This window comes from Homo sapiens, chromosome 10 (genome assembly GCF_000001405.40).
Source record: "Homo sapiens chromosome 10, GRCh38.p14 Primary Assembly".
Classification (NCBI taxonomy): Eukaryota; Metazoa; Chordata; class Mammalia; order Primates; family Hominidae; genus Homo; species Homo sapiens.
The window spans coordinates 119,262,195-119,290,041 of NC_000010.11; the positions used below are offsets into that span (position 1 = coordinate 119,262,195).

General features: G+C 50.1%; 1 protein-coding gene across 1 annotated transcript in view, besides 4 other annotated features; it reads left to right on the forward strand.

Moving 5' to 3' along the window:
* Nucleotides 1–27,847, forward strand: part of GRK5 (G protein-coupled receptor kinase 5) — a 252,175-nt gene that overhangs the window by 54,624 nt on the left and 169,704 nt on the right. The window lies entirely within an intron of this gene.
* Nucleotides 6,526–6,755: an enhancer, noted in NCBI's record as "active region_4109". NCBI's record gives its function as "activates an Ori minimal core promoter by ATAC-STARR-seq in GM12878 lymphoblastoid cells {active_cell/tissue: GM12878}" and the evidence as "EXISTENCE:reporter gene assay evidence [ECO:0000049][PMID:35858748]".
* Nucleotides 6,886–7,135: an enhancer, noted in NCBI's record as "active region_4110". NCBI's record gives its function as "activates an Ori minimal core promoter by ATAC-STARR-seq in GM12878 lymphoblastoid cells {active_cell/tissue: GM12878}" and the evidence as "EXISTENCE:reporter gene assay evidence [ECO:0000049][PMID:35858748]".
* Nucleotides 18,900–19,400: an enhancer, noted in NCBI's record as "H3K4me1 hESC enhancer chr10:121040606-121041106 (GRCh37/hg19 assembly coordinates)". NCBI's record gives its function as "activates a minimal SCP1, AML or CMV promoter by ChIP-STARR-seq in primed H9 embryonic stem cells {active_cell/tissue: H9 hESC(primed)}" and the evidence as "EXISTENCE:reporter gene assay evidence [ECO:0000049][PMID:30033119]".
* Nucleotides 26,525–27,024: an enhancer, noted in NCBI's record as "H3K4me1 hESC enhancer chr10:121048231-121048730 (GRCh37/hg19 assembly coordinates)". NCBI's record gives its function as "activates a minimal SCP1, AML or CMV promoter by ChIP-STARR-seq in primed H9 embryonic stem cells {active_cell/tissue: H9 hESC(primed)}" and the evidence as "EXISTENCE:reporter gene assay evidence [ECO:0000049][PMID:30033119]".

Here is a 27,847-nt window from a genome sequence, read left to right on the forward strand (position 1 = left end):
GTCTGAAGTACTCTCTTAGAATTCAGAAGCACAAGTGGTGCCCCTGACAGCAGCCTAAGTGTGAGTTTCTGAAGTCAGAGCCAAATAGGGTTCTGTGCAGCCTGAAGATTATATATGAATGTTTTTAACTTTGGGTTTTTTTTTTTTTTTTTTTTTTTTTTTGAGATGGAGTCTCCCTCTGTTGCCCAGGCTGGAGTGCAGTGGCGTGATCTCGGCTCAGCACAACCTCCGCCTCCCAGATTCAAGCAATTCTCCTGCCTCAGCCCCCCGAGTAGCTGGGACTACAGGTGTGCGCCACCACACCCAGCTAATTTTTTAAAAATATTTTTAGTAGAGATGGGGTTTCACCATGTTGGCCAGGCTGATCTCGAACTCCTGACTTCATGATCCGCCCACCTCAGCCTCCCAAAGTGCTGGGATTTGGGCGTGAGCCACCGTGCCTGGCCTAACTTTGGTTTTAATATTATTTTGCCTTGGCTTCAGGAAATGACCAAGAGATGCCTGATTAAGATTATTTTGGAATCATTATAATGGGATGGAGCTTCGAGTAGCATTGGACAGGGAGTCAAGGAACCAGGGTTCCTACTCAAGCTATGCCACTGACTTGCTGGCTTTGTGATCTTTAGCAAGTAACTGTAATTTTCTGAGCATTGCTTTCTCCATCTGTAAATAAGGAATTTTGATTACACATGCATCTAAAAATTATTCCATGGCACCCCATTGCAGGAGATATTAATAGATACAGCTGAGGAAAAGGGTTCTATGGTCAAAGTTGTTGGGAAATATTTCTTACTATATCTCTTGGAGATTCACAATGTACATTTTTTTTTTGAGACGGAGTCTTGCTCTGCCATCCAGGCTGGAGTGCAGTGGCGCGATCTCAGCTCACTGCAACCTCCGTCTTCTGAGTTCAAGCCATTCTCCTGCCTCAGCCTCCCCAGTAGCTGGGATTACAGGCGCGCACACCACACCCAGCTAGTTTTTGTATTTTTAGTAGAGATGGGGTTTCACCATGTTGGCCAGGCTGGTCTCGAACTCCTGACTTCAAGTGATCTGCCTGCCTTAGCCTCCCAAAGTGCTGGGATTACAGGTGTGAGCCACCATGCCCAGTCCACAATGTACATTCTTATATCAAAGGCTCTGAGAAGTCCTGCAGTGGAAAAAAAATTTTTTTTTCATTGTATTAACAGACTTTGGTTAATATTTAAGCATGGAATCTCACTTGTGTGTGTGTGCATGTGTAAAACATCTCTTGGCATCTTCCAGAATACAGTTATACAGGCCCATCAGCTTGGCAAACAGGGATGGATGATTCTTTGGCTTTTCTGAGTTAAATGTCTCAGTGTCCTTGGACAAGGAAGAAGTTAAGTCTCTTTTCAATCATGTTCTCAGCTTTTTCTCTCCTCTCTTCTCTTCCCCTCTCCTCCAAGTATTAAAACCTAGTTGAGGCCAGGCGCAGTGGCTCATGCCTGTAATCCCAGCACTTTGGGAAGCTGAGATGGGCTGATCACGATGTCAGAAGATCGAGACCGTACTGGCTAACATGGTGAAACCCCATCTCTACTTAAAAAATACAAAAAAATTAGCCGGGCGTGGTGGCGGGCGCCTGTATAGTCCCAGCTACTCAGGAGACTGAGGGAGGAGAATGGCATGAACCCAGGAGGGAGAGCTTGCAGTGAGCTGAGATCGTGCCACTGCACTCCAGCCTGGGTGACAGAGCAAGACTCCGTCTCAAAATAATAATAATAATAATAAAACAAAATAAAAAAATAAAACCTTGTTGATAACTAATTGTGGGTCTTTTCCTTTTCCCTGACACACATTCTGCAAGAGAAGACAGATGGCAGGCAGGAGGCAGATTGGAGAGAGGTTCTCAGCATGACTTTTCTCAAATGTGATGCTCCTCAAGAGAGTCTATATTTGTTATCAAAATGAGCCACGTGCTTGCATGCCACCTTGAATGCTCTCCATTGACATTTGCAACTTGTTTCTGTGTAATTTTGCAGCCTGGTTCTGCTCAGTTCCAGCAAGGTGACTGTCATTAGGCAGATCTCTTTCCATTACAGGTGACAGAAGCTCAACTCCAACTAGCTTAAGCAAAACAAATAAACAAAAACCTCCAGGGCATTTGTTGGCACATGTGCTTGGGAAGTTGAGTCCTGGGTGGGGCTCAAGTCCTACCATCTGGTGTTTGTCCTTCTCTGTTTCCTGCCTCCTGCTTCCTACAGCTCTTGGCTCTGCTGCTTTCTGAGTGTTGGCCTCTCTCTCCTACTACCGCTCATCCTTCTCCCCATGACGATAAAGATGGCCAGTGGCTGTGTGTCCTTAAAGTTAGCTATCCCTCAGCAAGAAAGACCACCTCTCCCAGCAGCTGTATGTCAAACATCATCAAGGCATGATTCTCATCGGGGCTTGGGTTTTGTGTACACATCTGAAATTGATCGTCATGGACAGGGGTTCACGTTCTGTGCTTCGTGAGATCTGAGTCCTGTGTGGGTAGCAGGGCCCTGATCAGCAGCCTGGCATTGTAAGTGGGGTAGGACTATTCTTCAGCAGTGGGAGGGACCCTGGGTGGACTAAAACCACACTTACCCACTACATGCCCTGCCCACTCCCTTTTCCTCCTGGCCAGGGTGCCCTGAGTAGCCTTGGCATGACGTGCCTCACTGTCATCTGACCAATGAGAATCATTTGTTCAGAAAACTAAGGTCCATAGAGCAAGGCACAGACCTGTCCCTGGGAGCTCAGTGTCCTGTTGGGAAGGCCGACTCAGAGACAGCTTTCATTCTTTTGTGTTACTCCGTGCTGAGCTGGTTGGGGCTCACAGCGGCCTCTTTGGACAGGCAGCAGCCTTGCCTCATCTTAACCTGTATTGCCAGGAACCCAGCAGCCTTCCCACATGAATCAAGTTCATGTTTGTTATCTCAAAGTGCTCCCCACCAGCCTTTAATTTTGGGGGCCTGCTCAGGTGCTGGACTCTGTCCTCCTTGCTTTCTGTTCGTTAGTTTTTATCTTGTTAATTCCTTTCTGAGTCAGGTATTACCAGCCTCTTTTACAGATGGGGAAACTGAGGCTCAGGGTAGAGAAAGCCTTTGCTGAGGCCCCCCCGCAGGTGAGTGGCAGATCAAGGATGTTGACCTAAAGTTGGTGCTATGGGCCTAATGTTTTTGTGCCCACACAATTCATTTGTTGAAGCCCTAACCCCCAGTGTGAGGTGGGGCCTCTGGGAGGTGAGTCGGTTAAGATGAGGTCATGAGGATGGGGCCTCCATGATGGGATTAGTGCCTTTAGAAGAAGAAGAAGAGAGACCAGAGCTCGCTCTCTCTACCACATGAGGACGCAGTAAGAAGGTGGCCTGCACTGAGGAACCAAATGGGCCAGCACCTAGATATTGGACTTCCTAACTTTTAGACTCACGGGCAATGAATTCCTGCTGTTTCAGCCACCCAGTCTATGGCAGCCTGAGCTGATCAGTACAGTCGGAGTTCTCAACCTCCATTGGAGTGAGTGCCTGGGCTCCACTGTACTAAAAGCAAGTAGTCCTCCTCTGGAAGGGCGTATGCATATTTCCAGGCATTTTGGAGCCTCCAGGGAAACCCTGGGCCCTGCAGGTTCTTGTCCAGAACCACTGGCCACACGCCCTCTCAGCCGCACTCAATGCCAGGAGACCTCTATGGCTGCTCAGGAGTGGGTCCCTGCCTGGGGCTGAAGTCCGGGCCCTGGGATCTGCGTTGGGTCCTGCTGTCATGGACTGAGCTGCCTCGGTTCCCTCTTTGGGCCCCACTAACAGAGAGGTTCTCTGAGGACCCCCATCCCTTCAGCTGAACCTAAGGCTACCAGGAGACAGAGGGCATCTGTGGCCTCCCCCAGAAGGCTGTCCTGAGGTTGTGCCCATTGTCTTGGGGAGTTTACTGGAGGAAGCTGCAGGCCTGGACTGTGCAGTCTGATTTCTTTACCTATTTTAGGAACGATGCTGGCTGGATGGGCGCGAAGGCTCACACCTGTAATCGCAGCACTTTGGGAGGCCGAGGTGGGCAGATCACCTGAGGTCAGGAGTTCGAGACCAGCCTGGCCAACATGGTGAAACCCAGTATCTATAAAAACACAAGCATTAGCCAGGCATGATGGTGCTCATGCTTGTAATCCCAGCTACTCGGGAGGCTGAGACGGGAGAACGCTTGAACCCAGGAGGTGGAGGTTGCAGTGAGCAGTGAGCCGAGATGGCGCCGCTGCACTCCAGCCTGGGCAACAGAGCTAGACTCCGTCTCAAAAAAAAAAAGAAATGATGCTGGTTGTTATCAAGAAGAGCCCTTCCCAAACACCCAGCTACCTTCCAATGGGCTTTTCCTTCCCTTCATAACTTGGGTGTTTTCAAGGGTGAGGAAGTTTAAGTAGTGAAGCCGGTGGGGCTGGCCAAGGGAACCCGCTGTCTAATCCTGTGGCTGGAGGAGGAAGCGGGGAAGGTGGATTCTTCATGGAGTCAAGGAGGCTTTCACTGCTTTTTCTTATTGCTTCTGCTGATTTCCCACTAGGCTTGGATTTGGCCATTTGCTGGGGTTGGGTGGGTGGGGGGGAAGAGTTTTTTTTTTTTTTTTATGGAGACAGGGTCTTGCTCTGTTGCCCAGGCTGGAGTGCAGTGCTGTGATCACAGCCCACTGCAGCCTTGAACTCCTGGGCTCAAGTGATTCTTCTGCCTCAGCCTCCTGAGTAGCTAGCACTGCAGGCGTGTGCCACCATGCCCAGTTAATTAAAAAATTATTTTTGTAGGGCTGGGAGCGGTGACTCATGCCTGTAATCCCAGCACTTTGGGAGGCCGAGGTGCGCGGATCACCTGAGGTCGGGAGTTCTAACCAGCCTGACCAACATGGAGAAACCCCATCTCTACTAAAAATACAAAAATTAGCCAGGCATGGTGGCGGGCGCCTGTAATCTCAGCTACTCAGGATGCTGAGGAAGGAGAATTGCTTGAACCTGCGAGGCGGAGGTTGCAGCGAGCCGAGATCACACCATTGCACTCCAGCCTGGGCAACAAGAGCGAAACTCTGTCTCAAAAAAAAAAAATTCTTTTTGCAGTGACAGGGTCTGCCTGTGTTGCCCAGGCTGGTCTCAAACTCCCTGCTTTAAGCGATCTTCCCACCTTGGCCTCCCAAAGTGTGGGATTACAGGTGTGAGCCACCGTGCCTAGCTGTGTTTTGTTGTCTGGCGCTGCTTTAGATGACCCCTGCTGCTGTCAGATTGCCCGTCTGGGAGCTGGGGTCATACTTGTGGGGTCATAACAGGGCCTTGGGCAGCAGACTCCTCACCGTGGCCAGGCAAGGGATTCCCACCCTGGGTTGGGCAGCCCTCTCCACAGGATGGCAAGGGGCTGGAGGCTCAGCGGACGGGCCCTGTTTTAGGGATTGAGGACATGGCAGGTAGATAGGCAATAAAAGCACCGAACCAGCCTTAGGTTCTATAGCAAGGAGGTCCAGCACCGCTCGTGGACCCAAACTGTCCTCCAGGAAAGGCGGGAGGCAGCTTAGGTGACCTCTGCACGTGTTTTCAAAGCTGTGGTTTTGGTTGGGAGTTTCATGCTGGCTCAGCCACACAAACAATGACATGGAACAGGGAGGCGCTCCCATGTCAGAAGATGGGTCCTCTCCACCCCAGCTCCTCCACACTCCCCACCCCCCACAGCCCAGCCAGGTCCAAAACCCTACATGCTGCCTCATAGGAAATGGGGTCCCCTGAGGAGAAGGACAAAAGCAGACAATTCCTGAGGACAAGAGGAAGAGGAGGACGGAGTCTCCCTTGTTTGTGCTGATTCCCAGTGAGCATCCTCTCTGGAGCCCACTGGGGTTTGGGACTTGCAGGGTGTGTCACTAAATGGCAAGGAACAAGGTAGAGACGGCTGGCACTCACTGTCTCTGTTGTGGACACTGGCCTCACCCACAGCTCCATGCACACGCCTAGATGCAGAAATTTTCTGTATTGGTTGTTTATCCATCACCAACTTCTAAAGCAGCAGATGGGAAAATGGAATGAACAAAGTCAACTTTAGAACAAGCTTTGTGTTAAATTGAGTACACATAATTCGATTATTTTAAAAACAAAGCCCAAGCAGTGTTTTTCTGTTTTTTTGCATGCAGTGTTTTCCGGTGTAAAGAGAATTCACTGCCGGAGAAGCCCCAGCTTAGCTTCCTTCTGCCCCTGGGCAGCCCCGTTGGTTTCAGCAGATGGTCCTGATGTCTGAGGACCTGCCACAGTTTGCGCCAGTCCTTCCTTTTGCTACTTTTGTTGCCCAAGACGAGGTGTGATTTAGTGGTTAAATGCCAGAATGCTGGGCTGGCTGGATTTGAACCTTACCTCCTTTGAGATTCAATTAGGATGTGACCTCCGACAGCTTAATTTCCCTGAGCCTCTGTGTTTTCATCTGTAAAATGGGTACGATAATAGGGTTGTTGAGATTTGGCAGGTGATAAATGCTGACCAAGTGTTTGCTGTTGCAGTAGTTGTTATGGCAGTTGTCGTCACTGTCCCCAATGTCATCACTATCATTCTCGTCATCTCAGGACACTGAGGAAAGGCTGAGCTAGTAATGAATAGGGTTGGACTGGTGCTGCCTCTTTAGTGCCTAAGAAACGCTACCCTGGCCCTGTCTCCAGGCCTTGATCTCAAGGTGGGATTCATCCATCATCCACCACGGCCCAGGAGCCAGCTGTCCTCACTTCTGGGGTGACTTGTGAGTAGATAACAAAGGGGGTGCCCTCACCCTGCAGCGGAGTCCCCATGGGCCTTGGGGCCCAGAGGGAGATGGTATCTGTTTCCCATGGGCTTCCTGTCACAGGCAGATGACATCTGCTCTCTGCTCAGGGTAGATTTGGGGGCCTCTGCCACTGGCTGACTGGAACTCTCTTACCTCATTCTAGACTCTTCCAGGCAGCTTTCTGTTTGTTCTCTAACAGAAACATAGAAACAAACCAGCATCTTTTCTAAACAAAGAGGGACTTTTCACAGGAAGTTTGATGACCTGACGCGTTCCCCCTGCTTGTTGAAGCACGAGCCTCTTCTCTGACAGTTAGGGTGACTTGCTGGAGAACAAACAATAGACAATAGTTGTGGCCTACTTCCCGTGAGAAGCAAGAATGGTACAGGTGGATGTTGGGAGCCCCCAAACCCATGGAAGGGGTTTCCTGAGGACGTCCTATAGTCCCTGAACATGCAGCCGAGGGTTCCTGGGGTAGCAGCACCCGTGTGGTTAGCCCTGTAATGGGCTCACATTATGAGGCTTCCGTGGGTAGGCCCTGTTCAGAGAGCTTTGCGTGCTCTCATCCTGGGGAGTCAGGGTTAGGTTTAGGGTCAAGACTGATATAATGGCCAGGCACAGTGGTTCACGCCTGTAATCTTAGCACTTTGGGAGGCCAAAGCGGGTGGATCACCTGAGGTCAGGAGTTTGAGACCAGCCTGGCCAACATGGTAAAACCCTGTCTCTACTAAAAATACAAAAAAATTAGCCGGGCATGGTGGTGTGCTCCTGTAATCCCAGCTACTTGGGAGGCTGAGGCAGGAGAATTGCTTGAACCCAGAAGGCGGAGGTTGCAGTGAGCTGAGATCGCACCACTGCACTCCAGCCTGCAAGATGGAGTGAGACTCCATCTTAAAAAAAAAAAAAAAAAAAAAAAGTTGCTGAGTTGGCTCTCCAAGCCTCTTTCTCAGAGCCACCTTGGAGGGGGCCAGCCAGCTCCAAAGCCTGGGGTGTTGGCCTTTGGGAGGGAGGGGGCCTTGTGCCAGTCCCCCACACTTTGTCTGCTCCTCCAGCCTCCTTGGAGTACCTTGAATGTACCTTCCTATTGCTGTTCCCTCTGCCCAGAGTCCCGTGCTCTCCTCTCCACATTCCTTCACTGCTCATTGGCATTCAGGGTTGGGCATAAATATTACCTTCTTGGGGGCCTGTTATTTGCATCCTAACTAGCAGGGCTCCTTTGCAGCCCACTGCCAGCCCTGCCATTCTTCATCACAGTCCTCTGTTCATCTCTTTGCCACTTGTCACCAAAATGTGTAATTGTACCTTCATTGATGTCCAGTCAGCCTTCTGTATCTGCAACTTTCACATCTGTGGATACAACTGACCGCAGATTGAAAATACTCAGAAATAAAAGGATGCTTGGGTCTGTACTGAACATGTACAAACATTTTCCTTGTCATTATTCCCTAAACAATACGTTATAGCAACTGTATACACATAGCACTTACATTGTATTAGGTATTAGAAGTAATCTAGAGATGATGTAAAGTGTATAGGAGGATATGCATGGGCTTTATACAAATACTACACCATTTTATATCAGGGACTTGAGCATCCATGGACTTTGCCATCTGAGGGGGGCACCAGAACCAATCCCCTAAGAAACCAGGGGACAATTGTTCACCTCCATGACAGGCCCATAAGCTGCTCTGTGCAGGTGCAGGTCTGTCATGCGGCCCACAGCCCTCTCTGCAGAAGACCCTCAAATGCTGGGGGAATGCACAAATTAGCTGGGGGGCAGTCTCTAGGAGATTTTCAGCAGTTTCTCCTGAGAGGTGTGAAGCTGAGAGTTAAGTAGGGTTTTGTAGGTGTAACAATAGGCATTTTCCTTCCAGCAGCTCAAACTGCAGTGTGCTTGGCACGTTAGTGCAAAGGAAAAAAACTCACTTCATTCTTAAGAAAGCTCTGGAAATTTCATCTGTGTTTGAGTGAGTTGGCATGCTGGGCCCCTGGCGGAACACAAATGTGGAATTTGAACTCTACCCTACCTCAGAGAGCAAGGCTGAAGCGATAGGATGAAATGCATTTAAATGTCATGAGTGTTATTATTAGTCGTAATCTTATCTTTGTTAATAATAATAACAGGACCCGCCTAGAAGTGACTGAATAGCAGACCGGGCTTTCGTAAGTAAGCTCACACTGTCAGATAGCACCAGGACCTGGGGTGGCGCCGGCGCCGTTAGGGAGGGAGTGTTCACCGGAAACCTGCCCGGGCCACACGTGTACAGCCACATCCTCCACGCCCTTTGGGCGCTGGTCATTCAGAGAGGCCCTCTCAGACACGCCTGGCCTCTTTAGAGGCTCTCTCATCCCCTCGAGCTGCCAACACAATCAAGGGTCTGCAGGTTTGGGAACTCCAAGGCAGTTTCTCTTTACCAAGTTCTCTGCATAGCCTTTTGCCTTCTATTGTTTGCTGTCCCAGAGACTGGCTGAAACAATGTGTTTCCTACAGATTTTGTTTGCCTGCATTGACTTCTTTGTTTAGCTCTAGTAAACAGACATTTAGCATATACAGATCTGCACACTTGACAAAGAGGAATTTGGAGCCCTGGACGGGGTGGCTGCACTGAGTCACCAGCTCCTTGAACCTGAAGACCTTGGATGGTCCGGAGCTCGTAAATGACTCACCCCATCAGTGCTGGGCTGGTGTGTGCGGGGTTTTGTCGCCACCTTTGGCAATGGAAGAGGGGAACGTGGGGCCTTTGACTCGTCAGGGAAAAACAGGTGTGTGAGCACTAGGTTGGTGACGAGGTTTAGCAGCAGGTGGACTCTGGAGCGTGACTCTGGAGTTGCCAGTCCCAGCTCCAGCACTTTGATTAGCTGTGTGACGTTGGGGAAGTTGCTTGCCTAATATGTGTGTGTTTCCTCATCTGTGAAGACAGCACTAACCTCGTAGGTACTCGGGAGGCTGAAGGAGTTCATCTGTGGAAATCATTTGGCATGATGCCTACTCTTATTCCTTGTCTGTGGGGCCCTGTTTTGTGGGCTTGCCACAGTCTCATGACTCTGCTGGGAAGAGCCTTCCTGCGGGCCCCCTTGAGCTAGGAATAGAACCTGGATTTCTGGCCCTGTAGGCTGACGCGGCCCTCCTAGATGTAGTGGTGATGCCCCGTTCAGCAGAGATGGTTCCAAATGTTCTGAACTTCTGCCTTGTATGGGACCCTGTGCCGGCTGAATCGCATGGTAGCTCAGGGCATAGATGCTAAATGGGACGGTCCTGGGTTTGCACCCTGGCCTCTGCTCTCACCAGCTGTGTGAGCTTGGATGTGTTACTTGTTACTCAGAGCTTTTCTCATGTGTAAAGCTGAGTGCATGAGGCCGGGCGTGGTGGCTCACGCCTGTAATCCCAGCACTTTAGGAGGCTGAGGTGGGCGGATCACCTGAGGTCAGGAGTTCAAGACCAGACTGGCCAACATGGTGAAACCCTGTCTCTACAAAAATACAAAAATTAGCCAGGCATGATGGCGGGTGACTATAATCCCAGCTACTCAGGAGGCTGAGGTAGGAGAATCACCTAAACCTGGGAGGCGGAGGTTGCAGTGAGCCGAGATCATGCAGTTGCACTCCAGCCTGGATGACAGAGCAAGATTCTATCTCAAAAAAAAAAAAAAAAAAGAAAGAAAGAAAGAAACAAGAAACTGAGTGGATGAGATCTCTATTTCATGGGGTCGTTGCGAGCATTAAGTGTGCTAGTGTTTGTGAAGAGCTTGGGCGGGGCCTAGCACAGAGCCCTGCATAGTAGAGGTTTTGCCCTGACCCATGAGCTGAGCATTGGAAATACCACAGAATCTGGAGTGGGGAGCAGAGGAGGTGTCATGGTCCTTAAGGCCTGACCTGTCAGATATTCACAGTTGTCTGTGTCACTTGTTCTCGCATTGATAGACCTGGAGGGACAGGGAGGCCAGCCCGTTGTGGAGGGGACTCCGCAGGCTGAGGGTTGATTCTGGCTCTGAGCAGGCTTCAAGCAGAAGCTGGCTAGCCCCTTGGCAGGGAGGTGGCAGTCCCTCTCTGACGCCTTCCAAGTCCTCCCCAGTCCTTCTAGGATTCTTTTACGGAACCAAAGATAATAGTCCCCTTTGATACCACATACAAGCCAGTCGTATTCCATGCCTCGGAATATGAACAAAACCAGACCGGCGATGGCTTAAGCCTCATTGAGAGGCCCATTTGGATAGCAGGAGATTACATGGGGTCATGAGTAGACAGAATGTGGATTTCCAGAAGGTGCCTCGGCAGCTCCACTGTAGGCATAAAGCAGGTGATTTTGAGATGTGTCCACTGGCACCTGTTCTGAGGCTGGTGGTGTCGGGGGTTGTGGTCATCACAGGTTGCATTAAAAGGGGGCTTTGATGGGGTCTTTTCCAGATGGAGCTGCTTTGTGGGATTCTGCTGCCCTGCCTTGGGATAGCAGGTCAGCAGAGGGTGAGCTCAGGAGCTGCAGGCTACGTGTGACGTTTAAAACATATTCTACATAAACTCATCCATGATCTATTCATGGTGTAATGGATGTCTGGGGCAGGGTGCTAGCTTCAGACGCTCCAGCCCAGGCTTTCTCAAGCCCTCCCAAGGTGCTGAGACATTTGGCACCCTCAGGCCACAAGTGTGGATGGGCCGCGGCTTTGACCCACAGGGGAACTCATCTCCCCAAGCTTTGTCCCCATGGGTCACCTACTTTGCAACCCTAGTTTCGTGATTTGGTTAATGGTGTTTAAGTGGCTGAGCCATGTATCTGGGGTTTTTCAGTGCCGTCACTATTATTTCTTGTTGAGATTTTTGCACAGTCTCCTTCCCTCAATCCTATGTGTTCTTTTTTTTGATGGAGTCTCGCTCTGTCACCAAGGCTGGAGTGCAGTGGTGCAGTCTCAGCTCACTGCAACCTCCATCTCCTGGGTTCAAATGATTCTCCTGCCTCAGCCTCCCAAGTAGCTGGGACTACAGGCACATGCCACCACACCTGGCTAATTTTTGTATTTTTAGTAGAGACAGGGTTTCACCATGTTGGCCAGGCTGATCTCAAACTCTGGACTTCAGTGCTCGGATTATAGGCGTCAACTACCGCGCCTGGCCTATGTATTCTTTTAAACTTCAGCTCATTAGAGCTGGGTTTGTGTCATAAGTGAGAGAGCCCTGAGGTGCTTGGTTTGAAGCAAAGCTTGGTTAGCCATCAGCATCTGATTGGAGACTGGTCCCAACCCACCCATGCCGCTGAGGAGGGGACATGGGTGCTGGCCAGCACCGAGATTAGAACACTGACCCGGTGACATGGGAGACTGTGGTTTCCCTCATGGTACAGAAACATAAACCATACTTGTTTTTGAGATGTCTGACCCTGACAAGACTGGGAAATAGAGCTAGCGACTGATAAGTGTTCAGGGGTGGGGCTGCATGTGGGCATTGTAGGAAAAGCGCACTGGCGAGAGGCGTACAGAGGGATCCCAGGCGTTAGCTTCCATTCCCAGCTTCTGTAGGGCACTTACCTGTGCTTCCTTCAGAAGGTGACCAACCAGTGAACTCTGCATGTTACCTTGGCCTTGTATAGGGTGGCTGGGTCGTCAGAAACCTGGGAGGCTCTGGACAGTTGACTTTACTTGGCTGTTCTTTGGTGTTTGTTCCATTCAGTGATGCTGCTGTGCCTCTTGAGGTGCAGGTGCAGGCTGGGTATTTCTCCCTCTAGACTGTTGCCCACAGCTGGAGGCAAAGGGAGTCCATTCATTTTTGCCTGTTGAATGAAGTTAGAGTTTTCGGTTTCTCTGTCCCCTTAGCTGAGGGGCTTTCACATCCTTTAAGAGAGCTGGCGCCCTCTGGGTGGAACACTGATCGGGAAGTCAGCACCCAGGGGTTCCAGCCTTGGTTCCACCTCTCACTGGGTGGCCTGGGGCACTTGTGGCCTGTAAGTACCTATTGTTATGAGAGAGTTGCTGTGCAAACAAAGACCCTTTTAGTTTAAACCTTCTTGGAGACAGCAATTTTGCAAAGCAGTAAGAACCTGGGATTTGAATTATGGTTTAGCCACAAGCTAGCTTCCTAAGCACTCAGCTTCCTCACCTGTAAAATGAGCTCATGATAGACCCAGCCTCTCTGGGTTTGGGGAAGATTGAGAGCATGCAGGCCCAGGAGCATGGTTCCTGGCACATGGGCTCAGCTTCGTAGGTGGTGGCTCCTCTATTACTACCCTCATGAGTGTGATGGTTTTATTACCACCAGAGTGAAGTTCCTGACTGTGAGGTTTCAGACGGGATAAGCGCCTGGAGTAAAGTGTCAGGGCACATGGTTGATCAGTATCTTGGGTTTCTCCTCTCCAAGCAGTGACCTGGACTTGACCTACTAGAAATGGGATCAGGTCTCCAGAGAGAGGAACCACCTTGGCTCTTTGACCTCGGTCAGGCTTGGATACCGGGCCTCCAGGTGAAAGCCTCAGGTGCTGTTATCACTTCCTGAGACAGCCAGTCCTCTCACTTCTGTGTTTCCTTTATTACACTTTACTATGAAGGAGAATTGATACAGAGGAAGAAAAACATACAGTGAACCCTTTATTTCCTATGATAAATGATGATTTTTGGAACTGGGGTCCAGTCTGAATTCTCTAAGGCATGCTTGTGCGTGTGCACGCTCTCTCTCTCTCTCTCTCTCTCTCGCACACACACACACACACACACACACACACACACAGAGTAATGGTTTTAAAGTCATGACATACTGTGCTTTTGGCTGCTGCTGTTTCTGACTGATGACCCCAATGAGACTCCAAAAAATTAGATGGGTGCGTTTGGAAGGCATTCAGAAATTACTCATTGGAAGAAAAATGCAGCGTTTGGAGGAAGGGGAGGGCTGAGCATGTGTAAAAATGAGTGTTATGCGCTTAGTGTTCCGAATTCAACATCAGTGAGGAAAGGGAGGGCCGCAGGAGTTTGGGGACCGTCTCGCTAAGCAATACTGCAAACACAGACAGTGACCCGATTTTCCATAGCTGTGCTAGCTCCTCAGGAGGTTTTGAGAATCCCCCTCATTTGGGTTTGAAGGAGGTCTCAGTGTCCTTCCTCCTCTGTTTGCCAGATTAAAGTTTCATACCTCAGAGCTGGGATACGCTGGGTTTTGATTGTAAAGGCATGCAGCTCAGACTCTGTTGTAAATGGTGAGTTTTTCTTTTTTTTATTACACTTTAAGTTTTAGGGTACATGTGCACAATGTGCAGGTTAGTTACATATGTATACATGTGCCATGCTGGTGTGCTGCACCCATTAACTCGTCATTTAGCATTAGATATATCTCCTAATGCTATCCCTCCCCCCTCCTCCCACCCCACAACAGTCCCCTTCCTGTGTCTATGTGTTCTCATTGTTCAATTCCCACCTATGAATGAGAACACGTGGTGTTTGGTTTTTTGTCCTTGCTATAGTTTACTGAGAATGATGATTTCCAATTTCATCCATGTCCCTACAAAGGACATGAACTCATCATTTTTTATGGCTGCATAGTGTTCCATGGTGTATATGTGCCACATTTTCTTAATCCAGTCTATCATTGTTGGACATTTGGGTTGGTTCCAAGTCTTTGCTATTGTGAATAGTGCCGCAATAAACATACGTGTGCATGTGTCTTTATAGCAGCATGATTTATAGTCTTTTGGGTATATACCCAGTAATGGGATGGCTGGGTCAAATGGTATTTCTAGTTCTAGATCCCTTAGGAATTGCCACACTGACGTTTTAAAAGTGAAATCAGAGAGTGTTTTTGGTTTTCTTGAAGCTGCCTTTGACATTTTAGCAACACAGCTGGGAGGGTAAGGTAGAAAACTCCAAGAAGTTGGAATTCAACTGTCAAAGTCAAAGCGGGGATGGACTTTTGGGAGTCCTGCCACAGCGGGACCTGAACTCAAGTCTTAACTTCTCCTCTAGGGCTCTTGTGTGAAAGAGGAATAGCTTCCTGCAGTTCACAAGGGTCGTACCATGATCAATTATTATTACGTTACACATCACTTCTGTACCAATTTATATTGGCACATGAAGTTAATATATCCCTATATCCATGCATTGCCTTTGTGATTTGGGAAAATCCGATGCCTTGGCCAAACCTCTGAATCATGTGACCACGTTTTAGCCTAATTTGGTGAACAAATCTTTAACCTCCATGTCTTCAAGTGCAGCATCAGTGGGTCATGGATCCAGAAGGTTGGCTGATTGGGATTCTCTTGCTGGGTGCTGCCGCACCTTGTGTGTCGGGTGCCGACACCTTGATCATTTCGGCCAGACCCCCAAGAGAGCCCACAGACCACCATGCTGGGTGGAGGCACCCAACACCTGGCTGACTGCGTGAACTTCTTGCTTCCCAGTGGCTCTCCAAACTAGTTGTGGAGGACGCGAAGGGGTTTCCTGATGTCAAAATAAAAATAACGATGTCTGTAGTTTCCCAGGAGGAATAATTGTTGATGTTGAGGCATGATCTCTGCATGCATTCTGTACCTGCTCCAGGGTGCCAGTGGAGGCTACACCCCTCTCCCCCTCTTCTGCTCTCTGCGACACCCCTGCCACAACAGACCTTGACTCTCCAGGCTGGGACCCAGGAATCCGTACTCTTTCAAAACCACTTTATTGAGTGTAATTGACAGACAGTAAGCCACACATATTTAAAGAATATGATTTGAGAAGTTAGGATATATCCATACCCGTGTGAATCTACATACCACAAACAAGTTATCCATCACTGCTGAAAGTTTACTCATGCCCCTTTATAATCCTGCCCTGTCATCCCTTCCTGTCCCCTGAACCCTAAGCAGCCACTGTTCTTGCTTTCTGTCGCTCTGGATTCGCTTGTATTTTCTGGATTTGCTTGTATTTTCTGGATTTGTCTATAGATGGAATCATATAGCAAGTACCCTTTCTCATGTGCCTTTACTTACTCAGCATGAAGATTTTGAGATTCATCTACACTGTTGGCGTATCAGTAGTTCATTCCTTTTTCTTATTGAGTAGTGACCCACTGTATCGATAGACCACAGTTTGTTTACCCACTCAACTGTTTGCGCAGGTGGGTTGTTTCTAGTCTCTCTATGGACAGAGATTTCCTTTTCTCTTGAGTAAATACTTAGGAACATCTGGATCATATGGTAGGTATAGGTTTAACTTTTCCAGAAATTGACAACCTGTTTTCCAAAGTGGTTATTCTTTGGGACAAGGAATCGTTGTTTTTAGATAAGCTTCCCCAATTCTCCTGTGGCCTCTCCCTTCCCGAGACGGTCTAATGGCCCTGAGCGATGGCTCCTATGTGCCCGTCTCCACCTGTTCTCTCAGGGCTAGCTTGGCCTTGGCACCTCACTGCAGGCCGCCCCTCTGCTTGGGGTGCTGGACAAGCAGAAGGGGAACACTCAAGTTCTTTCTCTCCATAACTGCCTTCGGGAAGCCATGGCAGATGCGTTGACTCTCTGTAGGGCTGGCAAGCTGTGTGGCGAGTCCCTTATCCAATGTCGCTGTGTCCCACAGGGAGGTCTTAAAGAGGCAGCCGACTTTTGTGGCCTCCTTGTGAAAGCTTCGATGCCTCAGGGATCATTTCTGAGCTGACTGCTAGTTGGACTTGGGCCCACTGAAGAGACAGCCTGGGATCGGATGTCCAGAAGAGACAGATCTGAGCACGTCTCTTTCCTCTCCCTCCTCTTTTCTTCTTAGCCCTTCCACCTATCACTCATTCATTGCCCCTTCCTAGGTTCTGTATTCATTTGCTGGGGGCTTTAACAATGAGACGTTATTTTCTCCCAGTCTGGAGGCTGGAAGTTCAAGGCCTAGGTGCCAGCAGGATTGGGGTCCCTGGAGCCCTCCCTCCTTGGCTAGGAGATGGCCGCCCCCTTGCTCTGAGCCCACATGGTCCTTCCTGTATGCACCTGCACCCCGGTGTCTTTCTGTGTCCTGACCTCTTCTTTTTTCTTCAAGACGGAGTCTCGCTCTGTTGCCCAGGCTGGAGTGCAGTGGTGCAGTCTTGGCTCACTGCAACCTCTCACTCCTGGGTTCAAGCAATTCTCCCACCTCTGTCTCCCGAGTAGCTGGGATTACAGGCGTGTGCCACCATGCCAAGCTAATTTTTTGTATTTTTTTTAGTAGAGACGGGGTTTCACCATGTTAGCCAGGATGGTCTCGATCTCCTGACCTCGTGATCCACCCGCCTTGGCCTCCCAAAGTGCTGGGATTACAGGCGTGAGCCACTGCGCCTGGCCCCTGACCTCTTTTATAAAGATATCAGTCACACTGGGCTGGGGCCCAGCCTAATGAATGGCCTCATTTTTGCATGATCTCCTCTTTAAAGGCCTTATCCTCAAATTTCTCCAAATACAGTCATGTTCTGAGGTGCTGGGGGTTAGAACTTCAACACAGGAATTTGGGGGCATACAATTCTGCTTATCACAGGTGCTGAGCCCTGAGTGCAGTGCTTATGATAGAAAGATGAGCTGGATAGTTCTTCCCCTTGTGCAGCTCAGCATCCTGGGGGAGAGAAAGTGGGAAGATCCAGTTTTCTGATGAAAGAAGATGGAAGGAGGAGGGCTCGGTGCTACTAGGGGGGTGGGAGTGGATGGTTAAGACCAACTTGACTCCAGTGACAGCAGCAAGGGCTCCTCATTCCTGTTGATGGTGTGTCCTTCAAAACGTGCCGTGGTTCTCAAGGAGTGAGTGGCGGTGGCCTGCAGCCCTCTGGCACTTTGTGGCCGAGGCCAGCTCCAACGCTGCAGGGCAAGAAGAGCCACGCTGCAGGGCAAGAAGAGCCACGCAGCAGCACTGATGTGCGTGCCAGTAACTGCCTGGTGTTCTAGTGAGTGCTCTCCCTCGAGGAGCCTACTCCATTCTCTAGGGGATCATGTGAAAAGTAGAGCAGCTTTGGGAAAGTGTGAAGTCTCTGTTGTGTCTCTGGAGAAGTTATCGCCTGGTTTGCACATGCTGGAGGGTGGGGTGGTGGTGGAGGAGGAGGGCGCATGATGCCTACAACCTGGCTACACTGGCTCTTTTCATCCTTGAATTCCTGCCTCAGGAACCCTACAAACCCAGTGCCCAGAGTATTGCACTGGGGCCAGAATGGGAAGAGCCCTGAATACAAGAGAACTGTGGTATTGGGGCTATACCTATAAGCATCAGGAAGTCCCCTGCTCTGTGCCCAGGGAGTTGGAGGCCTTAGTACCCTTATCTCTGGAGGCTTCTCCCTGGCCGTGCAGAACAGCTGCAGGAAAGGGGGAAAGCAACTTAACAAAAATTGGTCCAGGGACAAATTATGCTTAGTAATGGATTATCCCAAACATGCTTTGTCTGAGTGTCCTGAGGCCATGGTGACAAAAAGTTAGTGCCGTAACACACACGGAATCAATTCTCTGAGCCTGTGCACTGTCACACTTGTTGCCTCAAGCTCACAAATGGAGTTTTTCTTGTTGGTTTTAATACCTGCAGGAACGTGAATGTCGGCTCTCCAGCCAGCAAGGCCAGCGCCCACCCATCCATCCCTCTGCCATCCTCCATAGGTGGTTCTGATGGCTCTGGTCAGCTGTCATTCGTCCTCCCATCTCTCAGCCTTTGTAGGATAGTTGATACCTGTTTTATTCTTTTATTGTTATTTTAGGGGTCTCAGCATGGAAATATATTGGTGTATAAGTACCTGTTCCAGTCCTTGTTTTCACTTCTCTTGGGACTATACCTAGAATTGGAATTGCTAGATGCTATGGTAATTCCGTGTTTAATTTTTTGAGGCACTGCCAAATTATTTTTCTCCCAGAATGCTTTGGAGGCAATGACTTCCTGTTTCCTTCCTTCCTTCCTTCCCTCCCTCCCTCCTTTTCTTTTTTTTTTTTTTTTGAGACAGAGTCTCACTCTGTCACCCAGGCCAGAGTGCCGTGGCCCAATCCCAGCTCACTGCAACCTCTGCCTCCCGGGTTCAAGCAATTCTCCTTCCTCACCCTCCTGAGTAGCTGGGATTACAGGCGTGCGCCACCACGCCCAGCTAATTTTTGTATTTTTAGTAGAGACGGGGTTTCATCATTTTAGTCAGGCTGGTCTCAGACTGCTGACCTCATGATCCACACGCCTTGGCCTCCCAAAGTACTGGGATTACAGGCATGAACCACCACGCCCATCTGATTTCCCGTTTTCTGCAGGGTAAAGCCTCAGGGCCGGCCCATTGCTTTCAGGACTTTTCTCACTCTGTCCCCAGCACAAGGATCTTCTCCATCTAGATGGATTTGCCACCATGTGCTGCCTCCATGCTTGGGCTGGGTCATTCTGCTCACATGGACACCTCTTCACCTTCCTCTCAGGGACTCTGCACATGCTGCCTTCACTGCCTCCTTGGGAAAAAATTGCTCCTCCCGGCTGCTCCCAAAGCAGTTCTTGTGGGTCTGGCCAGGGACCCCCCTAACCCTACTTTACTAACTACCCTGGGTTGGCAGTCTCTGCCCCGAGCTCTCCTGTTCCTCTCCCCTGCTCTTGAGCTCCCATTAGGTGTCGAGCACCCAGAAGTGGTGATGGCTCGTTCATTTTGGCCATGTCTGTGCACGGCTCACCCCTGGTGCTTGTATGCGGATGCTTGTGACCACACAGCCTGTATTTGAGCCACTGTTCTGTAATCAGCCTCTCCTGTGGTGGCATCTTCTTCACAGGGAGGGATCTGGCCGACCTCGGGTCTTAGCACGGCTGAGCCTTTGAAGCTGGCAGGTTGCCCTGGGTTCCCGGGGTGGTGGTTGGCCGCCTCTTCTCTTGGGCCCCTGCCCATTTGGAAGCGTGCCCTTGAGCACTGCCATCCCCGAGCCAGGCCATCAAGTCATCCGATCCCCCGAGGTGGCTGAGAAGCTGGCTGAATGTCCCTGCTGTGAACCAGTGATGGAGAACCAGGCTGCTACTTAGCTTTGTAGATGGATTCGGTAAAGACTAAATCTCTTATTTCTAAGACGTGATCTCATTGCACAGACAACAGCCTGAGTGGCCTGTCACCCAAGCAGAAATCCTGGAGACATCTGTTGAGCCTATCCTGTTTCTCATTGCCATTGGTGACCTCCCTCCTGGGCATCTGTCCCTTGCCCTCCCCTCCTTGGTCTGCGTCTCTTGCTCTGCTGGCCACTGTCGCTTTCTGTGTGATCTCCCCATGCCAGTGTGCCCTGCTGTGATTTGCCTTTTCACACAGCACCTCTTCCTTGAGTTCGGACCCAAGCTGCACTCTCCAAACCACTGACTTCACTTGCTCCTCCCCCCACTCACATTTTGGGGCCCTAAATTACTTTAGTATCGTGAGTGAGCACTGGGCTGTCTCTTTCACAGTCTAGATTTGCACAAACCTTTCTCTGAGCCTGGACCATTCTCCCAGGTCTTCACCAGGCCAGTTCCTCCTGGAGCTCCAGACTGCAGCAGAGCTGTCTCTTGCTGGGATGGGAGACACTTCTCTGGCCCCAGTGCTGCTGTTCCCCCTGCTAGTTTTCCCCCTTTCCTTGGCAGCCCGTCTCACCAGGCTGTCTTGTAACAGTCTGTTTTCCTTGTCTGTCTCCCTCACCAACCTGATGTGTCTGCACTGCTGTGTCCTCAGCTCCTAGACCAGGGTCGGGTTCCGGCTGGGGCAGGAGAGGCGTGTGCTGCGGCCCTGGATGGGCTCATGGGCAGATGGACTATCGAGCAGATGGATCAAGGCCCCCTGTGGGTCCAGGTTTCTCCCCAGAGCCTGAAGGGTTGGCCCCGGTGGTCTGTGACAGCTTCCTGCTCTGGTGGTCAGCAGCTGGGCACAGAACTACCTGGAGTGGAGGTGAGATCCCAGGAGTTGTCAGGAGAGTCCAGGGTTGGCGGGGGCCCCAGAGGCTTCCGGGAGGCTTCTAGAAGCTCTTGAGCGCTTTCTCCTGCCCAACATGAATGTCTTGTCTTAAAGGTGAGGCCTTGTGAGAAAGCAGGACTAGGTGAGGCCGGAGGAGTGACAGTCGCCCAGTTGATGCTGTGGAGTTCTCCAGGCTGCTGGCCCATCCAGTCCCTCCTCTAGGCCCTGAGTTACTGTGTCACTGGGGCCTGGTCCTGCTGCAGAGTTGGGGCACATCTCAGGGCCTTTCAGAGCTGATAAGGGGCCTGGCCTGCTTTCAGTTTTTTGGTTTTGTTTTGAGGCTTCCAGTTCATTAAAACAATTAAAATGCCCTAAGAAAGCTATAAATATTAATATTATGGTATTTTAAACTGGTAACCTTTGTCAGGATGGTGTTTTTTTTTTAAACCAAAAACAACATAGCAATATAATTAGTCTAGTCACAAGGTAATGCTAGGATTTATAGGAAATATTAATTCATAGTGTGCTCAGTCTGGGTGGACCTGTGATGGGACGGGAGTGTCCTCCAGCCCTGCAGCTCAACATGGTCACATTTGGAGATGAGATGAAGTATTTGACTTTGAGGCTTCTGTGAAAATGAATCCACACCCCATTCCCACCTCGTCCCCTAACCTGCACCCCTCCAAGCCCTGCAAGTCCTTCTTCTAGGCTGGGAAATGAGGACATAGGAGTGAGGCTGCAGGGAAGGAGTGAGACATACACGTTCCTGAGGCCTTGAGTTCCAGGCTTCAGGAACGCCTGCCCGTGCCCGGGCTCTGTATTCCCTGGCCAGTGCTGATGGTGTCTCTGGCAAAAATGCAAGTACCCTTGGAGGCTAGGCCTTGGGGTGGAGCTAGCTCAGACACCTGCCCTCTGGGAACATTGCCTTCTTCTGCTTTCTAATGCTGATGGCTTCCCTGAGATCCCAGAGTCATCAAGGGTCACCCTGCAGATGGGACCATGAGCCCCACTCCCCAAAATGTGGCTTGCTCAAGGTCACATAGGTAGTAGCAAAGCTGAGACGTGAGCCTGGCCCTTCAAAGCCTAAATTGGGGATAACTCTGGCAAGAGAATGTTTCAAGGTTCATCTTTGTGTCCCCAGAGCCTGGCATGTCATAGGGAGATAGAAAGTATCTGTTGAATGAGCAAGAGCAGCCAACATGGATCGAGAGCCAGGAACTGTGGTAACTGCACATCTGTCTGATCTCATTGATTCCTCCCCAGCTCTGGGCAGTGTACTTCGGTACTCGGATCCCCTGTGGGCAGATGAGGAGGAAGCTGGGTACAGGTAGGAAATGAAACCTGCCCAACATCAAACAACCAGTCAAGGAAGCTGAGGTTTGGGCCCAGATGGTGTATGTCAGAGCCACTGTCTAGGCCAGCGCTGTCCAGTGGAAATAAACGTGAGCCTCTTATGAAGTAGAAAAAATTCTAGTAGCCACCTTTAGAAAAGTAAAAGAGGAACAACTGATATTATTTTAATAATATTTTAATAATATATTTTATTTAATCCAGTATCTGCAAATGGTTATCATTTTAGTATATCATTAATATAAAAATCCTTTTCTTTTTTGTAGAAATGTTGCCTGGGCTGGTCTCAAACAGTTCTCTCACCTTGACCTCCCAAAGTGCTGGGATTACAAATGTGAGCCACTGAGCCCGGCTATTTAATCCGATATGTACAAATGATCATTTTAGTACACCATCAATATGAAAATTATTAACAAGATATTTTACATTCCTTTTTCTATGCTAAGCAGTTACAATCCAGTTTATCTTACCTCAGAGCACCTCTGAACTCCCACCAGCCACATCTCAAGTGCTCCTCAGCTTCTGTGTCCAGGGGCTTTGGCGCAGAACAGGCTGCTGTGGCCTCTCAGTCGTCAGTGGGTGAATATTGGGAGTTGTTAGCCATTTGGAGGTGTGGGAAGCATGAGGAGGTGATGAAAGGGCCTAACAGACAGAGGTGGAGGGTCAGGCCTGAGCCTGTGTACTGGGCTGCCAGTGACACCACGTGTCTCTCCCAAGTGTGAGTGCTGGATGCAAGGCTGCCGTCCTGGCAAAGGGATGTCTCACTGGGGCCTCTCGTGGAAATGGAGGGGAGGTCCTGGGCAGGGCTCTGCAGAGCACAGGCATCCGAGCTCCCCATCCTGGGCTGCCTGGAGGACTTGCCAGTCTGCGTGGGGATCTGGCTCTGAGCTCTGTTGCTTTTGGCCAAGGGCTGTTGCAACACTCCCGGAGCCCAGAACAGGTACGATGTGTTCCTCATGAAAGGTTATGAGGTTTCAGACATAACAGAGGTTCTGAGGATGCAAAGAGAGGAGGTCTCAGGGCTCATGTCTAGAGTGAAGTCATCAGACCTATACATCATGGGTTCACGTTGGCTGGCATCTCTAAGCGCACCTCAGGCTGGGGGCAACCAGTACTAGGGGCGACAAGGACAGACTTTGGTGGAGGTAGGGGGAGCACTAAGGGACTCCTGTTTTCTCAAATGGGTCTCTAATGAAAGAGGTTAAAGAAACTGTCACTTAAAGCATTTCCTGGGTTGGTCCTGAGTACAGTGGGAGGGTGGGTGGTAAGAAGAAACCTCCCTGGGCCAGGCTCCCCAAGGCTCGATTCCTGGGTTGGGGGCAGAGATTGGAGGAATCTGTGGCCAGCCCTGGCCCAGACAGTTTCTGAAAAAGCAAATCAGGGTTTGTAACAGTTAAGTCTGTCCCGGGGAAGTGTTCCATTGCACCTTGATTTATGCCACTGGAAACATTTTATACTGAGGACTGTCCATTGGCCAAACAAGCCTTGGGGCCAAAGGCACAGCAGGGAAGATGGTTGCTGTGTGAACCATCAGCTCTACTCTGCTTGTGGGGACCATGGGCGCAGTTCTTAAAAGCCCGCACTGGGTGATGCAGAAATGGGGCGGTGACACGGTAAAAGGAGCGGTGGCAGGCAAAAACTTTTAACAACAACAGTAAAACCTGTTTTATAAAAGCCATATCCGTGGAGGTAGGAATTGGGAGCAGGGAGCCGCTGAGTGCTGGGGCTGGGACCTGGCCAGAGTAGGGAGGGATGAAGGACCCCTGTGATCAAGGTCAAGTCCTCACCTCATGACTTCCTGGCAGAACGTCCTTGGGCAAGGCTCAGCTTCCCTGTCTGCAAAATGGGGCTCATAACCCCTCCTTTCCTTGCAAGCTCATATTAGATGCTGCATGTGGAAGTACAGAGCAAAGTACCCCACAAATCCAGGGGGTTATTCTTTCTATTAACCCCACTGTGAATGTTTTACTTTCATTTTTATTAACCCCACTGTGAATGTTTTACTTTCATTTTTATGTATTCTGTAGCCTTTAGGTGTCATGTTACTTTATCAGGATTTTAAAAACTTTTCATTATGAAGCGTTTCAAATGTACTCAAAAAATAGAGAGGATAGTGTAATGAACACCCTGTACCCTGCAGCCACCACTACAACTCTTAACTATTTCATCAGGGCAATTTGAGCTCACTGTTACAGTAATCCCTTTCATTAATTGAGTTCCCAAAGTGCTTTAAGTCCTTTGAAGTAAAATCTTCACTGCACAAGTTGGCTCAAAATCTGCCCCCTTGTTTGGGAAAAAGAGTGTTTTTGTATGTTAGGTTTTTTTGACTCATTCTTGCCACAGTCTGTGATTGGATTTTTCAGTACCATCTAATTGTTGGTTGTACAATATAGAGACAGTCACACGTGGGGGTCTGGAGGGCCCCAGGGCCCCCCTCAGCCTTCCTTAAGCTACCAGGGCAAGTTCAATTCTCTCAGGAGTTTGGGGGCCTCTGTTGACTCTGCTTTTCAATTTGCTATAATTTGAAGGGAAAAGGTTGTTCTGGAGTGGCTGGCAGGAATAATGAAGGGCTGGGAAGTTTGTTGTCTCCGGTCAGCCCGCCTCCCCTGTTGCAGCCCGCCATGCAGGCACCCCTTGGAAGCGGTCACTTTGGGGCTGGTCACCCATTCCCTTGCCTGGAGGCAGAGGTTTTGGTGGAAAAGGTGGGGAGGTGAGGGGTCAGGGGATGAAGGCCGATTGTTTTTATCTGTTTGGGATCAAAGGCTCAGTGTGTATAACAAGCTTCTGGTAAAACTCTTTTTCTTGTCCGTAAGATGGCATTGGTGATGACTCTGGGCAGTTGTGAGGATGAAATGTAAGGTCCAGGAGATGTCCTGTCTGTCTTGTTCACTAATGTGTCCCCTGTGTCTAGAACAGTGTTCGCACAGAGCACATGCTCAATAAATTTATATTGAAGAATAGGAGGGAAGGGAGGGAGGAAAGAAGGAAGAAAGGAAGGGAGGGAGGGAGAGAGGAAGGGAGAGAAGGAAGGAAGAATGGAGAAGGCAGGGAGGGAAGGAAGCAAGGGAGGGAAGGAGAGAAGAAGGGAGGGAGAGACAGGAGGAAAGGAGGGAGAGAACAGGGAGAGAGGGAAGAAAGGAAGGGAGGGAGAGAGGGAGGGAGGAAGGGAGAGAGGAGGAAGGGAAGGAGGAAGGGAGGGAGAGAAGAAAGAGGGAAGAAAGGAAGGGAGGGAGAGAGGGAGGGAGGAAGGGAGAGAGGAGGAAGGGAAGGAGGAAGGGAGGGAGAGAGGGAGGGAGGAAGGAAGGGAAGAAGGAAGGGAGGAAAGAAGGGAGAAGGTAAGGAGGGAGGGAAGGAAGAAAAAAGGGAAGAGAGGAAGAAGGGAGTGAAAAGCTACATCTGTCCGTCCATTATTAATAATTCATCACAAATCTTTCATTTCAGGATAAGGAAATGTCATTAGGCCCTCAAGGAAAAAAATGCCTGTTTTCACTCTGGGCTTAGAATTCTTTTCTCTTCTTTTTTTTCTTGTAGAAATTATATTTCCATCTCTGGGGCTTAGCTCAACTGATATCTCACCTCTTAAATTGTTTTGGCCTTCCTCTGGCAAAGTCCAGCCCCCCACCCACTCCCACACTGCTGTCCACACCTCACAAAGCAGAGAGGAGGACGGCTATGACTGCACCGTATCCAGCGCCGGGGCTATGTGGTCATGGGATGTGTGTGCAAGGCTGGCACAGTCATCTCCCCCATACCATAGAGGACGCTGAGGCTTTCAGGTGAAGTGAGTTGCCCAGGTAGACACAGCCAGGAAGCAGGCTTAGATCCAAACACTTGTCTGATCCCAAAGCCCTGCTCATTCCCCGTCCTCCCTGCTGGCCCTGGGTTCATCCTAACCCTTTGCTTTTAGTTCCCCCTCTCTGGACTGGACGGTCCTCACAGGTAGAACGGCCTGTGCCTGTGTCCTCTGCTCTTAGGGTTAGCCCAGAGCGGGGAGGCCGTGGGTGTGCAGTAATCAAACTGGGCACATCCTCTGGGGCTGCACCTCATGTTAGAGACAGTGGTGTGGGCTCTGTTCCCCTCCCCACCCTTTCTGCCTGCAGAGCCTCCCTGGAGTTTATGAGTCCTGATGGAGGTGGGGAAGGCCGTGGCTTACCGTCGACACACATCAGTACCCGGCAGGAGTGGCAGAAGGTCTGTGGACAGGGCATAGGGGTGCAGGGGGAGGAGAAAGTGGAGGGGCTCCAAGCACCCGAACATAAGCTCCATGGCAGCCAGGACCTTGTCTGTCTTGCTTGTTGTAGTTCTAGTGTCTGGTTCAGGGTCTAGCAAATAGTAGGTGCTTAACAAGTAGGTATCGACTGGGTGGCCTCCGAGCCCTGCTTCCCTGTTTCCCCAAAGCTTTATTGTGGGTTCTTTAGCTACTGCTGAGATGCAGATAGGCCAAGCTGAGGGACCATCCCGTGTCTGTGACCCTGCCCTGGAGTGGACCACATCTCTGCTGTACCTCACTGTGTCACTGCTGCAGCAACATGGTGGGCTCTTGGCTGGCTGGAACGTGACCCCACACCCTGCGTCTGGTTGGACAAGCATCCCTCAGCATGGACTGGCTTAGGTGTGTGTGGGGAGTGGGGGTGGTTGATTCCCAGGGCAGCAGGCCGGCTGCTCTTCCTCCTCCCTGCTGTTCCTCACCCACCCGGCCTCAGCCACTCCATTCCTGGATGCCCATGTCCCAGTGGCGGCTGGCTGGTCATCCAGAGGCGAATGCGGAACATGGTGTCTGAGCTACTAACCTCCCACCTTGGGTATGCCCTTGAACTTTTCTGTAAGCCAGGCTTTCCAACCCCCAACAGCACTCAGGTCACATTCCCAGAGAGCCTGCACAAGAGGGCTGAGTCTGTTTATTTTTCAAGATTTCAAAAAACATGCCTTTTCCCCCTCTGACCTTAAGCAAAACTTTTTTTTCCCTCCAACACTTGTATTTTTAACTTCATGAGAAAATATGGTAAAAGGGAGCAGATTTTATTTTCAGAAACTGTGATTTTTCAAGATTTTTTTTTATTTAAAAAAGAAAGGCTTTGGGGGATGGGGAGAATAAAGATTTTTGTTTTGTTTTGTTTTGGGTGCTAAGGGGGCCCAGAGCCACTTCTCTGTGGCCCCTGCTCAAACTCCTCCAGAGATTCTGGCATGTTGAGGCTGCAGCTCTTTTGGTTATTGTGATCAAGGATTTCTGGGCACCTTTCCTTCCCCTTTTGAAGACTTAGGACTGGACCAGCTAAGGGCTGTAAACAAGCATTTCCCTCCCTTGGCAGGAAGTGCTTAATGTCTTTGCTTTTGGGAACCGGTGTTCTGGGCAGGCTAGGAGGCCGCACCTGACCTGCCTGTGGCTCTCTTCCCACTGTGGGGGTCAGAAGATGGTGGCTGCCTATGTGCATGTCACAGATCCTCACTTCCAGCTGGTGGATGTAGGATCTGAGGCCCAGAGAGGGTTGGTGACTTGGCCATAGTCACACAGCCACCTGGATAGAGATGAGTGGTGAGTGGTGAACCCGGAGAAACATGGCTTCTTGCCTCCTTGGTCTTTGTGCACGGGCCTCCCGCTTCCCGAGTCTCTCCTGGCCCAGCAGTGGTTTGCTGAAGGCTGTTTTATTTTAGGCACCGGCTGAGCTACCTCTGATCTTGTTGGGTTAGCCTAGGTGTGGTTCTTTGGTTTTTCAGTTTGTATAACCATGTTCTTTGTTCAGCTCCTATCAGGGTTAGGGAGGTCAAACACCTATGTGTCAGGATACGCCTGACACACACTATTTAAAACTCACACTGTTTTAAATGTATAGTATTTAAAACTTTATGGTCAGCTGTACTTACCGGCTGAGTACAGAACTAGGAAAGCTGGTGGCTACTTGCAAGGAGCAGCTGCTTAGTAGCGGAGGTTGAGTAATAAGGACCCCAGTTGCTGAACAG